General features: G+C 41.1%; 4 non-coding genes and 1 pseudogene across 4 annotated transcripts, besides 5 other annotated features; 2 read left to right on the forward strand and 3 right to left on the reverse strand.

The window, feature by feature from the left end:
- The first annotated feature begins 1,731 nt into the window (after positions 1-1,731).
- Positions 1,732-1,804, forward strand: TRK-TTT9-1 (tRNA-Lys (TTT) 9-1). The gene has a single exon. It is a non-coding gene; the product is annotated as a tRNA-Lys (tRNA).
- Positions 1,805-9,121: 7,317 nt separating this feature from the next.
- On the reverse strand, positions 9,122-9,193 carry TRD-GTC3-1 (tRNA-Asp (anticodon GTC) 3-1). The gene has a single exon. It is a non-coding gene; the product is annotated as a tRNA-Asp (tRNA).
- An 8,285-nt stretch (positions 9,194-17,478) lies between these two features.
- On the reverse strand, positions 17,479-17,551 carry TRK-TTT4-1 (tRNA-Lys (anticodon TTT) 4-1). Its single transcript has one exon. It is a non-coding gene; the product is annotated as a tRNA-Lys (tRNA).
- Positions 18,072-18,281: an enhancer, noted in NCBI's record as "active region_24295". NCBI's record gives its function as "activates an Ori minimal core promoter by ATAC-STARR-seq in GM12878 lymphoblastoid cells {active_cell/tissue: GM12878}" and the evidence as "EXISTENCE:reporter gene assay evidence [ECO:0000049][PMID:35858748]".
- Positions 18,255-18,549: a silencer, noted in NCBI's record as "tiled region #6095; HepG2 Repressive DNase unmatched - State 4:PromP". NCBI's record gives its function as "represses a minimal TATA promoter and a strong SV40 promoter by Sharpr-MPRA in HepG2 cells {active_cell/tissue: HepG2}" and the evidence as "EXISTENCE:reporter gene assay evidence [ECO:0000049][PMID:27701403]".
- Positions 18,255-18,611: a biological region, named in NCBI's record as "Sharpr-MPRA regulatory region 6095".
- On the reverse strand, positions 18,486-18,557 carry TRX-CAT1-6 (tRNA-iMet (anticodon CAT) 1-6). Its single transcript has one exon. It is a non-coding gene; the product is annotated as a tRNA-Met (tRNA).
- Positions 18,522-18,611: a silencer, noted in NCBI's record as "silent region_17032". NCBI's record gives its function as "represses an Ori minimal core promoter by ATAC-STARR-seq in GM12878 lymphoblastoid cells {active_cell/tissue: GM12878}" and the evidence as "EXISTENCE:reporter gene assay evidence [ECO:0000049][PMID:35858748]".
- Positions 20,015-20,309: a silencer, noted in NCBI's record as "tiled region #11926; K562 Repressive DNase matched - State 3:PromF". NCBI's record gives its function as "represses a minimal TATA promoter and a strong SV40 promoter by Sharpr-MPRA in K562 cells {active_cell/tissue: K562}" and the evidence as "EXISTENCE:reporter gene assay evidence [ECO:0000049][PMID:27701403]".
- On the forward strand, positions 22,077-22,182 carry RNU6-471P (RNA, U6 small nuclear 471, pseudogene; annotated as a pseudogene).

The raw sequence follows: 24,578 nt of genomic DNA on the forward strand, positions 1-24,578 counted from the left end.
GATACAGAAGTAGAGCAGTGGAGGGAGACAGACAAATACATCAAACTAATTGGTGCCAACGCACTCTCATCAAAGGCCTCCAGGGATACACCTGGAGTTGAACAAGTTGGGTTTATTACATGTTGCAGTGAGGGAGAACACACACCGTGGAAACCACGGGTGTCTCACTAATAGGGTGTTAGAAAAAAAATTATAAAATTTAGACTTTGGCGGGGTGATTTGGGAGAGGGTTTAAGAAAGTAGGGCTTTGCCATGCTTTGGATACTGTCAGGAAGTGGGGGTAATTTTTTGTTGTTGTTGTTGAGATGGAGTCTTGTTCTCTCGCCCAGGCTGGAGTGCAGTGGCGCGATCTAGGCTCACTGCAAGCTCTGCCTCCCGGGCTCACGCCATTCTCCTACCTCAGCCTCCCCTTCTGCCCACTACTTCAAAAAATACAAAAAATTATCCGGGAGTGGTGCGGGCGCCTGTAGGTTCAGCTACTTGGGAGGGCGAGGCAGGAGAATGGCCTGAACCCAGGAGGCCAGGAAGCGGAGCTTGCAATGAGCTGAGATGGCTTTACTGCACTCCGGCCCAGGCGACAGAGCAAGACTCCGTCTCAAAAAAAAAAAAAAAAAAAAAAAAAGAAAAAGAAAAGAAAAGAGAAAAGAAAAGCTTATTTATTTGTTTATTGAGATGGAGTCTCGCTCTGTCGCCCAGGCTGGAGGGCAATGGTGCGATCTTGGCTCACTACAACCTCTGCCTCCTGGGTTCAAGCGATTCTCCTGCGTCACCCTCCCGAGTAACTGAGATTACAGGTGCCCACCACCAAGACCAGCTAATTTTTTTTTTTTTTTTAATTAGAAACCGGGTTTCGCCATGTTGGCCAGGCTGGTTTCAAACTCCTGACTTCAAGTGATCCACCCATCTCAGCCTCCCAAAGTGCTGGGGTTACAGGCGTGAGCCACTGAGCCCGGCCTAATGTTTTAAATAATAGAATTACTGATTCAAAAATAAATAGTCCTGGGTTAGGCAGTCCCAGGTCTGGCACAGCTCCTCATGGAACAACTCTCTTCCTGTCTTCCTCTTCTGCCACATTTGCTGTGGGGTTTCTGTCCCCATGGTCCCTCTTTACAGGTGCTCAAAGTGTCTCACGAATTAATGAATACTGAACGAACCATGAGCACTATTTCCTGAACTCTCAGGCCATTCTTGTCTTTGAATGAGTTGGGGCTCCAGACAAAATGCGAAGAGAAAATTAGAGGAGGACTTGTATTTTTATTTCCTCCTAGCTCTGAAGAACCTAGACATTCCATTTCTGAAAGTGTGGGAAAAATACCAAATGGGGCAACAGAGAACCTTCATCTTCTTTCCACATTTTTTAATTCTCTCGAGCATTCTCCTCAATTAGGCCAATCGTTCCTTAAAACGGTCTCCTCCTCCTGGTTCCTCTCTCCAAGATGGCAAGGGAGCCTGCAAATTCGGTCTCCAAGGATCCCTCTGCCCAGAGCAACGAACTCCCTTTGGCAATATAGGAATAATCTTCATTCTCCCTGCAATTGTGCACATTAATAGGCTGTTTAATGAAAGTACAGTGTGGAGGTTAAATTATCTGCTTGGTGCTAAAATGGCTTAGGTGATTGAGCCACAACCCTGGTAGTTTCTGAAACCATGGATTTCCTGCAGCTTTTCTTGGCGATCCAATTACTGATGGGATTACATTATTTAAAGAATGAACAAAGTTTTCGCAAAAGAACCTGGGTAGCTCAGTAGGTAGAACATCAGACTTTTAATCTGAGGGTCTAGGGTTCAAGTCCCTGTCCAGGCGTTGAGTGTAGTTTTGACTTCTGCCACATAGAGAAGTCAAAACAGAAAACTTCTGCCACATGCGGCAAAACAGCCGTACACTTTACTAGCTTTACTTACTTATACCCTCCAGAGACTAACTAAATCACATATTTGTAAGCAAATCTAGGATTATGGTAAAGATAACAAGTAACTTGCACTGGAGTTATTGGACAGCCACTTTCAAATTCCCTTACCTGGTGGGGGATAACAACCTCATTCTAGAGGGTGTTGCAGTTTGGGAGGACCCTAGTAGCATGTAGACTCTGAGAGTTGGTAGTACACAAAACCCTGCAAGAAACACTTATAAACTAAAATCCAGACAGACTTCGAAATTGTTAGTCATCCATTTTGCGCTTTCGTTACAAAACTACTGTCCTCACTTTAAGATATAATCTATTAAAAAAAAAAAAACCCAGAAATGGGCTTTTGTGCATTTTTTCTGTGTACAGCTCTATAGATTTTTATAAGACTTGAAATGGGTTTTGGACAAAAAGTCAAGGTTTTTACCCGGTTTATACTGTGAGCATAGTAAGTGCATATTCTTTATCACTGGTTCCTTCATTTTCACTAAGTCATATGTACCCTGGAGAAGAGGAGTAGAGCTAACGAGATTTCTATCAGAGAAACCCTGTATTTGAAAAGTTGTGGAAGTTTTCCCGCCTTCAAAGTGGACCTCAGAAATCCTTCAGTAGGCAGGGCAGCAGGAATCGTCAGTCCCTGGATGCACCTGACATAAAAATAAAGTATTCTTTTAGCAGAAACAGGTATTGAAAGGTCAAAAGTCTGCTGTTCCCCAGACTGAACCTCCAGCTCTCTCTTAGGTCCTAATTCAGCTGGTCAAAGGATGAGATCTGTAAGAAGAGTGAGAGCGGCCGGGCGCGGTGGCTCACGCCTGTAATCCCAGCACTTTGGGAGGCCGAGGTGGGCGGATCACGAGGTCAGGAGATCGAGACCATCCTGGCTAACACGGTGAAACCCCGTCTCTAATAAAAATACCAAAAAAAAAAAAAAAAAAAAAAAATAGCCGAGCGTGGTGGCGCGCGCTTGTAGTCCCAGCTACTTGGGAAGCTGAGGCAGGAGAATGGCGTGAACCCGGGAGGCGGAGCTTGCAGTGAGCCGAGATCGCGCCACTGCACTCCAGCCTGGGTGACAGAGCGAGACTCCGTCTCAAAAAAAAAAAAAAAAAAGAGAAAAAAGAAAAAAGAAAAGAAAAAGAAGAGTGAGAGGAATTCATGCTTTCAAAGACTTTCAGGGTCTCCCAAAGCGTGTCTCAATCACCTGGGGACTCATGTTTCTTCCTGAACTTGAGGAGATGTGTCCAATTTAGTAATGACTGGAGTGAACAAGGTTTCCTCTTCAGAGGAATTAAAAGATACAGAAAGAGGCCGGGTGCGGTGGCTCACCCCTGTAATCCCAGCACTTTGGGAGCCCGAGGTGGGCGGATCACTTGGGGTCAGGAGTTCAAGACCAGCCTGGCCAACACGGTGAAGCCCCATCTCTACTAAAAATGCAAAAATTAGCTGGGCGTCGTGGCACGCGCCTGTAGTCCTAGCTACTCAGGAGGCTGAGGCAGGAGAATTGCTTGAACCTGGGAGGTGGAGGTTGCAGTCAGCCAAGATCACGCCACTGGACTCCAACCTAGGTGACAGAGTGAGACTCAGCCTCAAATAAATAAATAAATAAAAATAAAAGATAGGGAAAGAAGAATGAAAGTTATAACTTACAAGACAGAGGATTTAAATCTGTTGTCCCCTTCGACATTTTTTCTGCACTTTCACAGTTGGGATTTCCTGGGTTATTTAGGGTTGGGTGGGGGTGGGAAGTGGAATGACTGCCCACTTCCAAAGGTTTTGCAGGCGTAGAAGACCACCTCCCATGTCTCTTGTGCTTCTCCCTTTTTAGCACACCCATCCTAGTGCTAACTTTTCCTTTCTCCTCTCCTTCACCTTTCCCTAGGCCCTTCTTCTTTTCCCTCTTGTCTTCTCTTTTCTTCTACCTTTCATTCTCTGTTACCTCTCATTTGCTACTTAAGTGTTTCCTTTCCCATCCATAAGGGCAAAGTTGAATGAATCACTTGGTAATGCACCACCTTGAACATCAGAGATTCCATATTAATACATGTCCTCTTCTAATACATTTCATCACATCTTAAGTTCCATCTCATTCAAAGGCAAGAATGACCTAGACGTTGAAAAAGTAATATTTGCTGCCACAGTCATATTCAGCCTTCAGTCATGCATGAGACATGGCTGAGCACCTTTGCAGAAGAAAAAAGGAAGCAATGAGGTAAGAACCAAGACAACAAGAGACTTCACAATGTTTCCCGCAATAATGTCAGTTTCTAAATAAATAAATAAATAAAAACCATGGAAAATGATGAAAGGCTAGATTTTGTCAAGTATGGGACAGGGCAGGAAACAGAAAGCAGTGGCTGTGATTTACCTAAACTGCATTGTTCTTCTCTCCTGGAGGATTCAGAGTTGGGGAAAACAGAATAATTTTGGAGTCCACAAGTGCCGTATTGAAAATGTTAGTATGGTTTCACCCATCGAGGTCTGTGTTGTAGGTCCAGCATGCATCTGCTGTGCAATCTGACTTTGCATAAGTTGCCAGGAAAACAGTCCTATGGATTCACATAAATTGGTTCAGCTCAACACAGAAGTACAATTTTATTCTTCATTCTTGATTTATTTTCCTTCTGTTTTCATCCATTTCCTCCATTCCCCTCCCTTTCATCCCACGAGTCTCCTGCATTTCTTTCTTCTCTGAATATTATGTACTAGCAACCTCTGGCCAAAGAATGAGATGGATGTGAGGGTGAGTATAGGCATAGCTCTGAGCATGTAAGGGTGAAAGCTATACAAAGGGAGATGGAACCCAAGTTAATTTTAAGATTTCATGAGTTTTCTGTAGCCTGGGAACACTAGATTCAGGTTTTTCTTCCTTCCCAAATTTTACATTCTCTGGCTTTTTCTGCTCAGGTAAGCGTTTGCCTTGTCAAAGTGAGTATTGTGGAAATTGCTTTATCAGTATTAACAGATGGTAGAAAAGAGATTTTAAAAATGCTACATGTAATGGGATATTTGACTGTTCAGGTGATTAATCTGTTAGTAGAATTTGAAAACTTAGGTTTAAATTCTGTGTTGTCAAAAATTTTATTTATATTATGCCACGTGGCATTATTGGGGGAGGCACAAATGTTTGGGTAAAAGAGACTTCTTGCAGTCTTTGTTTCACCTTGCCTTCTTTAGGAAGCACTGCATTTCCCTCATCCTGTATTCATTCTTACCCAGTGCTCCTCTTAAATTACTTACTACAGCTCTAGTATATTGCTCAAATTACAGTTATGCCACTAACTGAAAACAAGGTACCCCATATCTGAGAATCCCATTAAATTTAAACAAGTTGCCTTATACTCTTAGGGGAGTTACTAAACGTAAAATAGCAGACAAACAGGTATGCCTCACTTTAACCATCAGAACTATTGCTTTGCTTACATTCTCTATGCTTATAGCACACATTGCCTTGAAATAGTCCATGGTAGGCATGCACACTCCTTGCCAATGAGTAATAATTAAGATAAGATAATTAAGACTTTGTCACAATTAACTTGACAAAATGGGACCCAGTGGACCTCCCCTTTACCCCTGTCAATTAAAATAGTTAATACAGTATAATATAAATTAAAACAGGACTTTCAAGTATTGAGCCCATTGTATAAGCTCTGTTTAGAGAAGGGGTGATTATCCCTACAGTTTCTCATTGAACAGCCCAGGTTAGCTTGTTATTAAACTTGAAAAGCATGAATGCCTCCTAATGGAAGATTATTGCAACCTTAATTCCATGGTCCCACACATTAAAGTCCTTATACCAAATATTATTGTAATTACTGACTCCATCTAATTGCTAACTGGTATATACTCTGTAGTCATAGACTTGCCTACTATGTTTTGTTTAGTGGCTATTTCAATGCCTCAAAACTTCTCAGTTTGCCTGCATCTGTGAGGGAACACAGTACACCTTTACCTCCCTACCATGGGTTATCTCATGTGGCTTGCCATAGCACATAATCTTTGCTGGCAAGATCTTAACTGCATCCAATTTTCTCCAGAAATACAGGTGTGATATTACATTGATGACATTCTTCTCTGCGGAGACTTATTTGACACACACACTCATTCAAGACATACAAACATTTGGCCAAGTGCGGTGGGTCACACCTGTAATCCCAGCACTTTGCGAGGCGGAGGCGGGTGGATCACCTGAGGTCAGGAGTTGTAGACCAGCCTGGCCAACATGGTGAAACCCCGTCTCTACTAAAAATAAAAAAATTTGCTGCGCATGGTGGTGGACACCTGTGATCCCAGCTACTCAGGAGGCTGAGGCAGGAGAATCACTTGAACCCAGGAGGAGGGGTTTGCAGTGAGCCGAGATTGCACCATTGCACTCCAGCCTGGGTGACAAGAGTGAAACTCTGTCTCAAAAAAAAAAAGGCATACAAACATTCACAAAGGACCTCACAATAAAGGGATGGGCCATTGCCCCTCATGTGCAAAAGTAAAATTGTATAATTATCTCCTTTATTATTAGATGTTGAACTTTGACAAAATTATTACCACTTTCTAAGACACTCTTAAGAATAGTTGGATAGTCCTTTAGCATTATAAAATACAGACACCTCAAGCCACAGGCCAATCAACGTCTTGCTTTCTTACTCATCCTTCAGCCTAGCACTCGCACTTTGAAATATTTATAGTTAAAATACATTTCCAACAATATTAAACTATCTACACACATTAACTGCAAGACTATTTGAAACTGCAAAATACTGGAAACTACCTAAACTACCAAACATAGGATATTTATTGAATGAACTATTTTTTCACACATAATGGTGTAATATGAAGCTATAAAAAGTAATGAGGGCCAAGTGCAGTGGCTCATGCCTGCAATCGCAGCATTTTGGAAGGCCGTGGCAGGAGGACTGTTTGAGCACAGGAGTTTGAGACTAGCCTGGGTAAAATAGTGAGACCCTGTCTCTACAAAAAATAACAATAATAAATTAGCTAGGTATGGTGGCGTATGACTGTGGTCCCAGCCACTAGGGAGGCTCAGGTGGGAGGATTGCTTGAGCCCAAGCGGTCGAGGCTGCAGTGTGAGTTCCTTCAGTCACTTGGATTGCTGAGCCTTAGATTGGCTATATCTCTGTACTGGCAGATTTTGACTGTCTCAGTTGACTCAGTGGACTTTTTGTTAGACCTGGGCAACAGAAGCAACATGCATCCTGAAATATTAATGGCATCTACTGATGCCTGCTGAAGTCTCTTCATACCACAAACAACAGATCTTCTAAATGAGGGAGAGCAAGTAGGGAGTGATGGAAGAAAGATCTTGTAGAACTGCCAGAGAATGCATTTATTTTCACTCATCTTTGTTCATATGAAGAATCCTTAAGAAACAGTATAAGGAAAGAGTAAGACCTTAAAATATCCCATCCAACTGTGGTATTAAAGTTAAAAACATACACTGACCAGATTTACAACTGGATAAACAGAGGGACAGAACTAAGTGACCTGGTTAAAGGTGTCTCTGTCTCTGCTAACACCTCATTAACTCGATTTGAAACAGTGCATAACAACTTAAAGTTTCATGTGTTACAAAAAATTGTCAGAATCTTGGATATGGGCAATGGAAATGATTGGGTGTCTTTTCAGTGAAGTGTTGGGCATTGTCTAATGGACTTCCGGAAATTACTTGATTCTGAGTGTGTACTTTTGACCAAATTTTTATTTGTTAAACTGTTCGAGGACTCCACAGGAGAAAAGTTGACTTGTAGATAACTGATAGTAATGCAAATGACGTTAGACCATACCAACTCAAATAAATTTTGTCTAATAGAAATATAATTAATTTCCAGTAGAAAAGATAACCCCAGATATTACATTTTACTCTCCTGTACCCCAGATATTACATTTTACTGTCCTGTATAGATTATTATTATTATTTTATTATTATTATTATTTTTGAGACAGAGTTTCGCTCTGTCGCCCAAGCTGGAGTGCAGTGAGGCCATCTTGGCTCACTGCAACCTCTGCCTCCCAGATTCAAGCCATTCTCCTCCCTCAGCCTCCCGAGTAGCTGGGATGATTCAAACCATTCTCCTGCCTCAGCCTCCTGAGTAGCTGGGATTACCAGCGCGCGCCACCACGCCCGGCTAATGCGCGCGCCACCACGCCCGGCTAATTTTTGTGTTTTTAGTAGAGACGGTATTTCACCAGTTGGTCAAGCTGGTTTCGAACTCCTGACCTCGTGATCTGCCCGCCTCGGCCTTCCAAAGTGCTGGGATTACAGGCGTGAGCCACCGCGCCCGGCCTGTCCTGTATAGATTATTAATCAGTTTTCCACATATCATTTACCTATTAATTTCCCCAAGAATCCTAAAATACAAATTATCTTAAATTCACAGATGAAAGGAGAGGACAAAATAACCCAAGACATCGCCCAATTTGCAAGTGATGCAGCCTAAATGTAAACTTCACTACCCGCTCCAAAAGTTCAGCCCTTTCTGCCTCAAAGTCACTCCCGTGGGAGGCAGGCCTCAAACGATTCTCAACAACTAGCACGCTTGGAACACACTAAGGCAAAGAAAAACGCATTTCTTGCTCCCAACCAAACAATCGAGGAATGAAAATTCCCAGTTAGAGATCCTGGCGTGTTTCTAGAGCCAGCTGAAAACACTGTGAATCCTGGCGCGTTCGGTGATCTCTCTTCCCAGAGAGAAAGTGGCAGTGGACTTCCATCAGATGATCGCTTGCTGCGTGAACCCATTGATAAACCAATACGCCGGAATCCGACTTCAAATGACAAAACCAGGGCCAGGCGCGGTAGTCACGCCTGTAATCCCAGCACTTTGGGAGGCAGAGGTGTGCGGATCCTCTGAGGTTGGGAGTTCGAGACCAGCCTGACCAACATGGAGAAACCCCATCAATACTAAAAATACAAAATTAGCCGGGTGTGGTGGCGCATAGCTGTAATCCCAGCTACTCCAGAGCCTGAGGCAGGAGAATCGCTAGAACCCGGGAGGCGGGAGGGGGAGGTTGCAGTGAGCCGAGATCGCGCCATTGCGCTCCAGCCTGGGCAACAAGAGTGAAACTCCGTCTCAAAAATAATAATAATAATAAATAAATAATAAAAACAAAACCAGGAAGAGCTGCTTTCTAAGACTGGCCTTATTAAGGCCTGAGTCCCTCAATAAGATTGGTATTGTTTATGTTGTAATCAAAAGCAACTGCTTCGTCTCCCCGTCGGGGAATCGAACCCCGGTCTCCCGCGTGACAGACGGGGACACTCACCACTATACTAACGAGGAAGACTTAACAAAAAAAATCGTGAAAAGAAACTCAATTGAAATGGCATTTATACATTGGCTACTGAATTTGTTCTTGGCAGAGAATTCCTAAAAATATGCTAATCTTCATATTAAAAAGTTGTTATAAGATTCTATGAAACAGATTTCCCATGTTGCTTCGAAAATCTGAAAACGGCAGTTCTGCAAAAGATTATGACTTTGCTGAAAATAGTTCTAGGTCATGAATAGCAAAGAAATGTTCATTAATAGTAAGGAGTACAGTAAACTTAAAAAGCTTCCTCTGCTCGAAATATCCTCCTTTCTTCTTCAACTCAAGTTTATTCGTTACAGGTTTACCTCAAGGTCACCGTCCCCCAGGATTTTTTCTCGGACCAATGTGAGTTAGATGCCCTTCCTCTGCTTCTGTTTACCATGATAAAAATCGTACATATATGAATTTCTACATTTTCTTTCATAAAGGAAAGATCTTAAAGTCTAGGTTTTAGATTTTGCAGCGGTGACATTAAATGCGTGTTTATTTTTGCATAGCCGTTTAGTAGTAGAAATCCCATTCCCAGGAATGTGCCTCAGTGAAATTCCAGCTGAGCTCAATAAGTGGCTTCACAGAAATAAGATATTCATTGTACCAATTTGATGTAACAGGGAATTAAAGGCAACCTGATGTGCATCAGAAATCTGAGTGTGTACTGAGAGAAAATCAGCAAGTTTTCTAGCAGTGCCATAACATGTCGCAGACTGTGTGGCTTAAAACAATAAAAATTTGCTCTCAGTTCTGTTGTCTAGGAGTCTGAAATCAAAGTGTCTGCAGTCACCCTCTCTGAAGGCTCTAGGGAAGAATATTTCCTTGCCTCTTCCTAGCTTCTGGTGGCTCCTGGAAACCTCTAGTGTACCTTGGGTTGTAGCTGCGTAATTCCAATCTCTGTCTCTGTTGTTATGTGGCCTTTTCTCTGTGTCTCTGTATGCCTTCTCTTCTTATAAAGACACGCGTCATTGGATTTAAGCCTCACCCTAATCCAGTATGACCTCATCTTAACTAATTACATCAGCAAAGACCCTATTTTCAAATAAAGTCACATTTTGAGGTTCTGGATGGACACAAACTTGGGGGCAACATTATTTAATCCACTACAACTAAGAATGAAGAAGCGTTATATGCATGAGCTTAATTAACTACACCAAAGTAAACATTAAGAGCTGCAAAATTACTGACTAAAATTAGCTGTAGGTGAGAGTGAAGCGAGGTAGGGAGGAAGAATATGCAATCTTGCATTGTTATTGTTCAAAGTAAGGAAACAAAGAGATTGTCCAAAGAAACACAATAACCAAACCCTTAAATAATAATGTAATGATGAAGATAACTAATAGATTAAAAACTATAAACTTTCTAAAAATATCAGAAGAGGTAGAATGACAAAATAGCTTGTTTTCAAAATAGAAACTGAAAACCTAAATAAGTGGAAAACTATATCATGTTTACAGAAAAGAAGACTTAATATCTCAACTATATCATTTCTTCCCAAACTAATCTATTGATTCAGTGTAATTTCAACATAAATTCCAAAAGTGTTTTTCCAAGGACTTGATAAACTGGTTGTAAAATTATATGGAAGTGCATAGGAACTATAATAGCAAGAACACTTACTAAAAATAAGGAGAGAATTGCCAACAAACTTGCAGGACTTATTAGACATTCCAGAAATTCGTATATTAAAACAGGTACTGATATAAAATCTTGAGTTGACAAAATATGAAAAGAGTTCATTTAAAAAGCCCATACATATATAAACTCTGGTATATCGACAGAGGGTTATGCCAGATCAGAGGAGAGTTGGGGGTATTTAATAAATGAAGCCAGGAATGTAATATTCCTATAGAGGGGAAACATGAAATTGAGTAAAGATTAACATCGTGAGCCGGGCGCAGTGGTTCACGCCTGTAATCCCAGCACTCTGGAAGGCCGAGGAGCGTGGATCGCCTGAGGTCAGGAGTTCAAGACCAACTTGACCAACATAGTGAAATCCCATCTGTACTAAAAATACAAAAAATTAGCTGGGCGTGGTGGCTGGTGCCTGTAACCCCAGCTACTCAGGAGGCTGAGGCAGGAGAATCGCTTGAACCCAGGATGTGGAGGTTGCAGTGAGCCAAGATAATGTCGTTTCACTCCAGCCTGGGCAACAGGAGAGAAACTCCGTCTAAGAAAGAAAAAAAGATTAACACCATGAAGATCAAGGACATAAATGTCAAAAACAAAATTTACAATTTCTTAGTAGTATTTATACAAATCAATCAGGACCTTGTGTACACTAGTTAGGTAGTAAGATTGGGACATTTAATACAATAAATTGGCTACACTAGTGGTAGAGAAACTGATATGACAAATGGTACAGAGATTAGCAAGAACGGGAAATCACTAAAGGCCAAAAGCCTCCGCCACCTGGAAGAACCTGAAGCCACAGCAGGCTTACCCGTCAGGCACTTGACACATTAAGATGTAGCAGAAACCCAGGAGGGATGAGCAATACCCTGTTTCCACTTTTTCTTTTTCCCTTTCATCTCCATTCAGTGCCTAACATTGGTTAAGTCCAGCCAGAAGTCAGTTGACAAGGGAGTCTGGGAAACGCAGTTTACAACAACGTCATTGCAGTGTAGAGCACAAAAGAGCATGGGTGATGAATAAGTCTGAGCAAAAACAGCTAAGTGAAGTCTACCTCTTTTGCTACTCAACATCCAATCTCGGCATTTTACCAATATGTAACTCACATTTAAAAACTAATGCTTTCTGTACATGAAGAGATCCTTAAACTCCCCCAGAAAAGAGAAGCAAGTACCATCACACTTTCTGGAAGAGACAGCATTATTAGAGCCTAGGAATTGAAATTATCTGGCTTAAGGTTTAATCGTACTAGTCCTGTCCAGTGAGAGCTAAAGTGAAGGAGAACATGCAGCTGTTCCCATAGAGGGTGCCCAAAGCAGGCAGACAGTGGTGGAAATTATCTGACTTCTTTATTTCTTTTACTCTCCTATCACCCACCACTGCATTTTGTTGACTAAACTGAGCTGCAGATAAATGTGAAGTAGGCTTGGGAAATACAGTCTGAGTTCAGCCCCCTTTGATGTGGGAAAAAGGTGCAGGAGAAGGGTGAAGAAAGAATTTGAGAAGCAAGAGGCAGTGGTTACCACATATATGAGAATATGTATTGGAAGAAGTAAAGATTGGAAACACTGGTTAAACAAGACACAAAAATGCTCCAGGTTTAAGAAAACCTTGATATTTATGAAAGTAATTACAGATTAAATTGAAAACACAAGTTACACTGAGAAAGATTAAACTGCATTCAAATAATTGAATTGCAAGGAATGATTAGATAAGGAGGAAGATAAAAAAATGTAGCAAGACTTCCACATGTAAATAAATCAAATATATACACGAAATAATCAAATAGATAAATAAACTGACATTTAGAAGAAAATTCAAAGGTACAAATCCAAACATATGTAGATATGTTCAACCTCATTGTGATAAAGGAATACAAACCATCACTACAACAAGATACTATTAACCTCCACTTGATCAAATTAAAATGAAATGTGCAAAAATAACAGCAGTTGACTATTTGGATATGTAGTAGTATCCCTAATACATTGCCAAGAGAGGCATCCATTTTTACAGCCCTGGAAAATGGTTTGTCATTATCTCAAAAAGTTAAACATTTACAAAATGTAACAAATTAACAATTTGTCTTCTAGGAACACACACACACACACACTCAAAGTACTTATAACTCTGTACCATGCCACATGTGCATAATTGCTCATAGAACTGTTGACAATATTAAATATACCTGGAAACAACTCAGATGCTCATTGGTTGATGTGTGAAAGGCCTGATGCAAAGATTTTTGAAGTCTGCTCTCTGAAATGAGAAAATTTCCCATGGGGTATGCATAATATATGCATGACAATTATTCATGTATTAGCTGCTCTAATCCCACAAAAAATCCTCAATATTTTCTAAAATGTAGAAATAGTAGAAATCAACATTTTCTGACCCTTGAAAATTATAAAACTTTCTTTTAAAAACTAGGGCCGGCCGGACACGGTGGCTCATGCCTGTAATCCCAGCACTTTGGGAGGCCGAGGCAGGTGGATTACCTGACGTCAGGAATTCGAGACAAGCCTGACCAAAATGGAGAAAGCCTGTCTCTACTAAAAAATACAAAAATTGGCCGGGCATGGTGGCTGGTGCCTGTAATCCCAGATACTCGGGAAGCTGAGGCAGGAGAATCGCTTGAACCCGGGAGGTGGAGGTTGCAGTGAACCGAGATCACGCCATTGCACTCCAGCCTGGGCAATAGAGCAAAACTCCATCTCCAAACAAAAAAACAACAACAAAAAACTAGGGCCAAGGGGAAAATATAAACAAAAAGCATAAAATTTCTATACAACAAAGGCAATGAAAATCTTACGTAGCGGACTCCATACGATAACACTAAAGCAGTAATCAAAGGAAAACTTGTAGACTTAATAAAAAGGAAACGGCCGGGCGCGGTGGCTCACGCCTGTAATCCCAGCACTTTGGGAGGCCGAGGCGGGCGGATCACAAGGTCAGGAGATCGAGACCATCCTGGCTAAAACGGTGAAACCCCGTCTCTACTAAAAAAATACAAAAAACTAGGCGGGCGTGGTGGCGGGTGCCTGTAGTCCCACCTACTCGGGAGGCTGAGGCAGGAGAATGGCGTGAACCGAGGAGGCGGAGCTTGCAGTGAGCCAAGATAGCGCCAATGCACTCCAGCCTGGGCGACAGAGCGAGACTCAGTCTCAAAAAAAAAAAAAAAATAATAATAAAAATAAAAAGGAAACAATACTTCTACCAATAAAAAGGAAATAATATTAAAGCCAAAACTCTGTCTCAGAGAGTGACTTAGTTTGGGTTCCCAAGAAACAGATTACCTGAGACAGAGATTATGTGCACAAAATTTATTAGAGTACACAGAAGAAAATGTAGAAGAATGAGAGAAAAGCAGAATTGGAGAGATGAAAAAGTAAAACTGCAAAGCAGTTACAGCAGAGGCTTCAGCCAAGCCACAGGAGCTCTGGTAGGATGCCCTTCAGAACTGTCCCAAATTGAAGCAAAAATGTGGTCATTGGATACTGTTTGCCCCAGAGAGAGCGTCTAGTCCTGAGAGAGTGCAATCTTTGGCAGGGGCGCTGTTCCTTGAGGCGAAATGACACTTTAGCAGTCAACACTCCTTGAAGCTATGAGAATGGAGCTTTGATACTGTGGAGAGGGGTAGCCCTATCAGATATTAAAATATACTCTTCATGCATCTATAATTAAAGCACTATAGCATTCACAAATGAATAGAAAAACAGTCTAGTAATGTAATACAAAGTCCAGAAGTAAACAAAATCACATATGGGTATTTAATATTTGATAAAGCATATATTTCAAGCCATAGGTGCAAAGATGGACTTTTTGACAAGTAGTTCAGGAAAAATTTGTTAGCCAATTAGAGCTAAAATGAAATTCAGCCCTCACTCTTTATGCAAGAATAAATTCCAAATGAATCAGTGATCTAAGTGCAAACACTGAAACCTACAAGTATTAAAAAGAGTCATGTGTGAATTCCCTTGTAGCCTGGATATAGAAAGTTTCCTAATTATAACTTAAACTGTAGATATAATAAAAGAAAATTTAGTATCTTAAAGTACCTACAAATATGGTACAAAAAAATATGATAAACAGACTCTAAACAGAGTTAACAAATGGTGGGAATGGGTGCCGGGAGACTATTTGCAATGTGTATCACAGATAAAGAGTTAATATCCTTAATACAGAAACATTTTTCAACAATTGAAGAAAAAGGCCAAAACTTTATAGTCAAATGGGCAAAAAAAATTAACAGATAATTAATATATATATTTGCACATATGAAAATATGTTTAAATTCTGTAATAAAAAATTGCAAATTGAAACTATATGAAGATACTGTTTCTCTGCTATCAGCTTGGTAAAAATTTAAAAAGTATGTCAGTGCATACAGGAACAGGTAGTGTCATTGATTTCTGGTAAGGAAGCACATTGTTATCAATATAATCTTTATGAAGGGGAATTTGACTATGTCTAACAAAATTATATATACATTAATCATTTCACCCAAAAATCCCAAGTCTAACAATTTACCCTGAAAATCTACATCCAACAAAATGAAAATATACATCAGCATATTTACTCATTGCAGCATTGCTTGCAATTGCAAAATTTTTTAAACAACCTAAATGCTTAAGCATAAAAGAATGATTAGATTGTTACTTCCACACAATGGAGTACTTATGCAGCTGTACAAAAGATCTCTGTGAACTGACATGGAGAGATTTCAAAGATATATTGCTAAACAAAAAAAGTAAATCAAATCAGTATCTATATACTGTAAATCAATACATATACTATCTATAGATATGTACATATCTATAGATACTATATATACAATATGTATATATCTATAGGTACTATATATACAATATGTATATATCTATAGATACTATATATACAATATGTATATATCTATAGATACTGTATAGATATCAATATATATACAATATATAAAGCAAATCAATATCTATATACTGTAAATCAATATATATACAATATAGTATAATATTTTTCGTCTGAGAAAGAAGAGGACATTTTAAAAAGTATGTATCACCAGGCGTGGTGGCTCACACCTGTAATCCCAGCACTTTGGGAGGCCGAGGTGGGTGGATTGCGAGGTCAGGAGTTTGAGACCAGCCTCACCAACATGGTGAAACCCTGTCTCTACTAAAAATAGAAAAATTAGCCAGGGCTGGTGGCGCGCGCCTGTAGTCCCAGCTACTCGGGAGGCTGAGACAGGAGAATCGTTTGAACCCGGGCGGCAGAAGTTGCAGGAGCTGAGATCGCGCCATTGCACCCCAGCCTGGTCTAAAAATAAATAAACAAACAAATAAATAAATAAATAAGTATGTGTCTGCCTGCTTATTCAAAAGGAGGTGCAGGAAGGATAAAAAAGAAACTGGTAAAATGGATTACCTATAGGGGGTAGATGAGAATGAGTTGAAAAAGCTGGAGAAGGAAAGAAAAAGAAGCAATGAAGGGAAGTGATATTTCTTCGAGTATGTCTCTTTTGCACAGTTTAACTTTTAAAATGATGTTATGTTTTAAGTATGTACAAAAAATAAAATAGGCTGAACACAGTGGCTCATGCCTGTAATCCCAGCAATTTGGGAGGCCTAGGCGAGCGGATCTCCTGAGGTCAGAAGTTCAAAATTAGCATGGTCACCATGGTGAAACCCCGTCTCTATTAAAAATACAAAAATTAGCCTGGCATGGTGGCGCTCCTGTAATCCCAGCTACTTGGGAGGCTGAGACAGGAGAACCACTTGAACCTGGGAGGTGGATGTTGCAGGGAGCCAAGATCACGCCATTGCACTCTAGCCTGGGCAACAAGAGTGAAACTCCGTCTCAAAAAAATAAAATAAAATAAAAAAATAAACAAGGTCAGGGGAAAGAGTCAAAATGGACCTGATTACTTCAAATGAATCACATAACTGAAAAAGAAAGGGCGAGACCTTACAAAATGGATCCAAATGCAGTGTTTGGACTGAATATTGTCAGGCTCAAGACAAAAGGGACATGACAAAAAAAACTATCAACAACGTTGAACTCTTGGTACCTTTGTTTCATAGTGGCGTTGTTTAGCGTGCTGCCCACAGAAGCCATGCACTAGAAGCCCATGATCAGGGTCATTAACCATAATCCAAATCCCAGGATAATGACAGAAATAATGTAAACACAGAAAATACTATTTCAAAAAGTGTTTGGAAATGAGTTTTTCAACTGGGAACTGTTGCAAAGTGGTCAAATTTTCTGTGAAAGAAGAGCTGGTCTAAACTCCAAGGAACCACAGAGACAGGCTATGCAAAGGTCACTGCTCTTAAAGATTTTGGATTTTAATCAAGACTGCCCAAAGTGCTCCCCCATGCCTGGATTAATGAGCCATTTCAAGGGAGTTTTAAAATGGTCCATTTCCCAGTCATTCCATCACCAGTTTATTATTTTTATATCATGTCCTTTTCCTCTTCTCTTGAAATCTTGGGGATACGTTTCAAATAATATTGGGAAAGCATAATTTAGTGAAGAAAGCGATGCATTTGTCTGTTTCGGCCTTTGTGATATTTCCTTCTCCTCACAAAATGTTCCCAAATGGGATGGGTTTAGACCTAACTGAAGTAAAACTTCTGAAGTTCGCCTGAACAGGGACTTGAACCCTGGACCCTCAGATTAAAAGTCTGATGCTCTACCGACTGAGCTATCCAGGCTCTCTACACTGGGCTCTAACTCACTAAGAAGTGCTAATAAGGCTCATGATTTCAGTAATTATTAGGTTCTTCCAAGCGTTCTGGTCATATACCTGTGCCTCAGCACTGCAGCCGAGCTTTATTATATTGAACATTCATTTCAACCTCAAACTGTTTATTCGTTAAATATAAAATTATTGTGTAGTATTTATTACAGGGGAAATGACGAAGAAAATCGGGCTCAGAATAGAGTGGGACCCCTTCGGTAGTGAATAATCCCGCAGCTCATTATTGCGAACAGCAGCCCTTAGAGATCGTAGCTGGCTGGTAAAGGCGGCTTTAGAGCGGACGCCCAGGCTTCTTCATCAGCTTACCAGAAGGTTGGAGGCAGAAGGTACGCATTTCAACAATGACTTCGATAAGTGGGAAGAAACTTCAGAAGTATCAAACATTTGGGTAAAGAAAGATTGTTATGTCACAAGGGAAGCAGTTCAATTCCCGTTGTTTCCTCCGGTGTTTTCCTAGCTCTTTAAGAGATGAAGTTTCCTGGAATCGTAATGCCAGAGCAACACACAAGTGACACCCGCTTCTGTCTGGGGAATTACCTTCTTCAAAACACACGTCAAAATTTTATAATATCTTTTTCCCGGTCGCCCAACCTAGTCTTCATCTTTCGCTCTCTTTTTCTTCACCTCTTCCTCAGTCTTTCCCTTCTTCACACCGGTCTCTGCTCCTCTACCGCCTTATTTTTCAGACCTCCCATTTGCAGATTCACTCATTTCTCCGCTTATGCTTCCGTTCTTTGAAAGTGAACCACTAGGTTTCAGAAAGCACCAGGCAGTTAAAACAGAGTTTACTCCCTCGGTCACTGTAGGTCTTCAGTCATTCATGAGAGGTGTTAAAGCACCTCTAACAAGTGCAAGATGCAGTGTTTTGGAGGAAAAAAACAGGCACCTAGCAGAGGATGGTTTCGATCCATCGACCTCTGGGTTATGGGCCCAGCACGCTTCCGCTGCGCCACTCTGCTGTCCCCTTCAGCTGTTGTGCCTTATCTCCAAGTAACTTAAACATCTCCTAACACCGCTGTCCAGCTGCGTCAATATTTTTTTCTTCCTTATCCATTTATCTTCTCTAGTCTCTGTCTTTCATCCTCGAGTTGTCTCACGTTTCCTTCTCAACATAGTCACCTACAACTTGTTGTTTGCTCCTTTGCAACTTAAGAAAACCGATTGAAATCCTTTCTCAGGAACTTGATTTTCAAACCGTTAGGCTCTCATACACCGACTTCTAGGGTTGGATTTAGAATTCAGGGCTTGTTCGTTTGTTTGTTTGCTTGTTTGTTTGCTTGCTTGCTTGCTTCCCACGCCTTCCATAGTGCACTCACTGTCTGCATTTGGAACACCTTGACTCCTCCGTGTCCCTGGTAAGACAAGGGCACTGTGTGGTCCTGTGGCCCTGTCCTCGGCCAGGTTGGAGGGACTAAGGAGAAACTGAAGATGCAGCGAACGGAAGAGAAGGAAATGCATGTACTTCTGAAAATCGTTGCTCGCGGAATTGAGGCAGACGTGGAGACGACATGCCTACTCAAAGAAGATTCAGTTTTCCGTGTCCCCACCACAATGAAACTTCTTTCACAAAGATCATAATGGGTATTCCTAACTACAAGGAGAGCGTGTGTGTGTTGTCCACTTGGCCTTTGGACACTGGGTCGGAAAACTGAGGCTCAGATCGCTTTCTAGGTGCGTCTGTGGACCCGTTTTTGTCAGTCTTGGTTCTTCCAGCCAAGGAATTGCGCAAAGCTGTTTTAAAGATTCTGTGTATAATTTAAGCTCCCCAATGGGGTGAGCTTCATGGGCCTGAGATCTATGCAGTCGCACAATTTACCACCATCCCCCGAGCACCCCTACACACACACACCCAGTCCTACTCTTGGGGTTTAATGTTTTGTAATGACTCTCTTGAAGTTCTCAATAGTTTTATCCTTAAACTTATGTTTTGTAAGCTATAGCCAACATGACAATGTAGCATGCTTAGGCATGGGGGTCTGTTGGCTCCCAAGAGTTCTGCCGAAGAGTTGACTCCCAAGAGCTCTGCTTCCCCTGGATGGGTTTTCAGCAACGAATTTGCCCTGCTAACTGACATCCTTCCCCACTCTCTTTCCCGACCCCTCTTCCCCACCTGCCTCCAGCAGTAAAGCCCCCTAGGGGGTCTACAGAAGAGGGATTAAGTTCCTGCAGCCTAATCCCGGGATTTCTGGGGTGTGGCATAATGGCTGTCATTCCCGACACTGGCTGGCAGACTGGCAGAGCCCAGGTGAGTTAGGAGGGTGTCTTGGTGGGAGTGAGCCTGCAGCTCACACCCATATCAGTATATATTCATAATTATAACAGCATTGTCTTCCTGCTTTTTGAACAAGGGCTCCCTCATTTTAATTTTTCACTGGGCCCTGCAAAATATATAGCTGGTTCTGCTCCCCAAATTTCAGTGGTGTTTGGTTCTCTTTGCTGGGCTCCCCTCAGGCTTCTTTACTATCTTGTTCTCATACTTGAAAAATCAGACCCTGGGGGCCGGGCGCGGTGGCTCACGTCTGTAATCCCAGCACTTTGGGAGAACGAGGCGGATGGATCGCGAGGTCAGGAGTTCGAGACCAGCCTGACCAATACGGTGAATCCCCGTCTCTACTAAAAATACAAAAAAGTTAGCCAGGCATGGCTGAGATTGCGCATGGCTGTAATCTCAGCTACTAGGGAGGCTGAGGCAGGAGAATTGCTTGAAACCAGGAGGCGGAGTTTGCAGTGAGCCAAGTCACGCCGCTGCACTCCAGCCTGAGCGACAGAGCAAGACTCTGTCTCAAAAAAAAAAAAAAAGAAAAAGAAAAAAGAAAGAAACATCAGACCCTGGATTCTTAAAGATGGAGCTTGGAGTCCTCAAGGGAAGAATTTGGAGGCTTCATTTTGAAACCCCAATGCTTAATACTGCTATAAGTTTCTATTTTTACATTATCTAAATATTATAAAATTCAAGTCAGAAAAGATGCCAAACCATTTAAATTACTAACACATTTAGATAATATATCAACTAATCTCTAATAATTTAATTACTTATCAGACATTTTTTGAACAGTGACAAAGATTCTCTTCATGACCAAACTCTAGTCAGGTTCCTCTGAAGGCTCTTCTCAACAAAAGCTCTGACTTTTGGACTTAAATGTTTGTAGCTCTGCATTGCGCACTTTTAACAATAATCGTGTTAAGTCAGTTTAGCCAGAATCCCTCATCCTCTATTATCTGATCACCCTTCATATCTGATCAGGTTCCTCATCCTCCACCATGCTCCAGTGATGTAATCACCCTGGCCTGCCTTCAAGAATCCTATCAGGCCAGGTTAGCCAGAAACCCCCTTACCTGTGATGTTTCCTTTCAGTAATTTTCTATCCAGTGACCTCATCTCCCCACTCTGATCCTTGGCTATAAATTCCCGCTTTTCCTTGTTGTATGCAAAGTTGAGCCCGGTCTCTCTCACCTACTGCAAAATCCCTCTCTAATAAAGTTTTCCTTACTGTCTTTAACAATTGCCATGAATAATGTTTTCCTTAACACCAACACCATGTGTTTTGCTTTTTATATATAAATAACACATAATTTAATAAATTTGAGCTAAGAAAGATGCCAATGAAAATATTCATATTTTTATAAGTATTTTTTGTTTTTGTTTGTTTGTTTGTTTTTGAGACAGAGTTTTGCTCTTGTTGCCCAGGCTGGAGTGCAGTGGCACAATCTCGGCTCACTTCAACCTCCTCCTCCAAGGTTCAAGCGATTCTCCTGCCTCAGCTTCCTGAGTAGCTGGGATTACAGGCTCCCATGACCACGCCTAGCTAATTTTTGCAGTTTTGATTGAGATGGGGTTTCACCATATTGGCCAGGCTGGTCTCGAACTCCTGACCTCAGGTGATCTGCCTGCCTCGGCTTCTCAAAATGCTGGGATTGCAGGCGTGAGCCACCACGCCTGGGCGAGATTTAAAACACTATCTTCGCTGTACATTTTGGTATTCCTTTTTTTTTCTTTTCTTTTTATTTTTATTTTGAGACAGAGTCTGGCTCTGTCACCCAGGCTGGAGTGCAATGGCGTGATCTCAGCTCACTGCAACCTTCGTCTCCCTGGTTCATGCGATTCTCCTGCCTCAGCCTCCTGAGTAGCTGGGATCACAGGCACCAGCCACCAAGCGCGGCTAATTTTTTTTTTATATTTTTGGTAGAGATGGGGTTTCACCTTGTTGGCCAGGCTGGTCTCAAACTCCTGACCTCAGGTGATCCGCCCTTCTAGGCCTCCCAAAGTGTTGGGATTACAGGCGTGAACCACTGCACCTGTCCCATTTTGGCATTCTTGATGTGAAGGAGAAACACAGTTACTTTAATCGTTGTTAGAGGGTAGTGTTAAATATGATTTATACTATATGATAAGGGATTTTCTTTACACTATAAAAATTGGCTTTGATTGTTTATATATAAAATGAAAAACTATATGTATACAAGCAGCAGTTAGAATTGTGTTCACTTCGGCAGCACATATACACAAATTGGAACTATACAGAGAAGGTTAGCATGGCCCCTGTGCAGGATGACATGCAAATTTGCGAAGCATTCCACATTTTTTTTAAAAAAATAGGGTAACCAATGATACGGAAATAGCCTAGAACAGTGGTTCTCAAACTTTGCACATTAGAATCACACTTCAGGATCTTTAAAAATAGAGTCGTACCTTGGTATCAGTAGGAGATTGGTTTAGGATCTCCTACGGATACCAAAATCCATGCAAACTCAAGTTCCTTATGTAAAAGGAGGTAGTATTTGCTTATTGAAGGGGTGGCCTGCCCCTCCACACCTGTGGGTATATCTCAACAGGCGGGACGAGAGACTGAGAAAAGAAATAAGACACAGAGACAAAGTATAGAGAAACAACAGCGGGCCCAGGAGACCGGCACTCAGCATACGGAGGACCTGCACTGGTACCGGTCTCTGAGCTCCCTCAGTTTTTATTGATTATTATTTTCATTATCTCAGCAAAATGAATGAGGTAGTTGAGCAGGGTGATAATAAGGAGAAGATCAGCAAGAAAACATGTGAGCAAAAGAATCTATGTCATAATTAAGTTCAAGGGGAGTTTACTATGCCTGGATGTGCACGAAAGCCAGATTTATGTTTCTCTCCACCCAAACATCTCAGTGGAGTAAAGAATAACAAGGCAGCACTGCTGCCAACATGTGTCACCTCCCGCCATAGGGCGATTTTTCTCCCGTCTCAGAATTGAACAAATGTATAATCGGGTTTTATACCGAGACATTCAGTTCCCAGAGGCAGGCAGGAGACAGTGGACTTCCTCTATCTCAACTGCAAGAGGCTTTCCTCTTTTACTAATCCACCTCAGCACAGACCCTTTACGGGTGTCGGGCTGGGGGACGGTCAGATCTTTCTCATCACATGAAGCCATATTTCAAACTATCACATGGGGAGAAACCTTGCACAATACCCGGCTTTCCAGGGCAGAGGTCCCTGTGGCTTTCCGCAGTGCATTGTGCCCCTGGTTTATCGAGACTAGAGAATGGTGATGACTTTTACCAAGCATACTGCTTGTAAACATTTTGTTAACAAGGCACGTCCTGCACAGCTTTAGATCCCTTAAACCTTGATTCCATATAACACATGTTTTTGTGAGCTCAAGGTTGGGGCAAAGCATCTCAGGGCAAAGCAATTGTTCAGGGTACAGGTCAAAATGGAGTTTCTTATGTCTTCCTTTTCTAGTTAGACACAGTAACAGTCTGATCTCTCTTTTCCCTACACTTATGACCTATGCACATCCTCCTGTATACATTAAATTATCTCTAGATTACTTATAATACCTAAAATACAATGTCCATGCTATGTGAATAATTGTTATATTGTATTGATTAGGGAATAATGACAAGAATATAAGAATCTGTAATGTTCAGTATAGACGCAATCATCCTTTTTTTTAAAAAATATTTTTTTGATCCACAATGGTTTAATCAACAGATGTAAAACCCACAGACATGGAGGGCTAACTGTACTAATTTTTGTAGGCTTCTACCCCCCTCCCCCCAGACAAACTGATTTCATAGGATTTGGTTGCCGGTGGGCATCAGAGTTTTTATTCCATTGACCCCTAGCTTACAAGACAATTATGTGACTTTTGCACAGACAGCTGCCATCACAAACTGCCTTTTTTATGGTATAAAGGGTCTCTTCAGGAGCTCTTAAAATGACTTCTTTCAAGTGCATTGATAGAGTTTGTAGAAAATATATTGCTACTGCTGTCTACCCTAAAAGACATCTTTACAAGTGAAAGCTTCAAAAATTTCCCCGAAAAGATTAATATGGAGTTAGTTACTTGAATCAAATTCTGGGCTCTTTAATAACCTTGAGAATATCTCTGGTCTGCTAGATTTTGACCATCTCAACTGACTGGCACATTGTATTGAGCCTAAGAAATACCTTATTTGGACTTTGTGGATTTTGGAGTCCCTTTACACTACATAATACAGCTGACATTTTAAATAAAAATAATCAAGTAGGGAGATATAGAAGAAAGATTTAGAACAAAAGTAAAATAATACATTCATTTTTATTCATGTTGGAAATATAAAGAGTCCATTAGAAAGAATGTAAACCAAGGAAAGCATAAAAGATTTTTAAATGTTCCGCCCGACGTCAAATATTAAAATTAAATATCTACACACCTAGTTGTATAAATTGGCAAACTGAAGACCAAGGTCAGAACTAAATAACCTCCAAAGAAACAAACAAACAAACAACAAGACTCCATCTCCTTTAACAATCTCCCATGTTTACTTCAAAGCAACTTTTATAACATGTCATATGTGTCAGAAAGAATTGTCAGACTTAAAAATCGACAACAGAAATTACTGGGTCCTTCCTTTCAGTGACGTGCTTGGCATTGTCTGGCAGACCCTCTAGCAAGTGTCTGATTTTTTTAGAGCTATGCATCTTTGACTTTCTATTCACTAGGCTAA

Source organism: Homo sapiens, chromosome 6 (genome assembly GCF_000001405.40).
Source record: "Homo sapiens chromosome 6, GRCh38.p14 Primary Assembly".
Classification (NCBI taxonomy): Eukaryota; Metazoa; Chordata; class Mammalia; order Primates; family Hominidae; genus Homo; species Homo sapiens.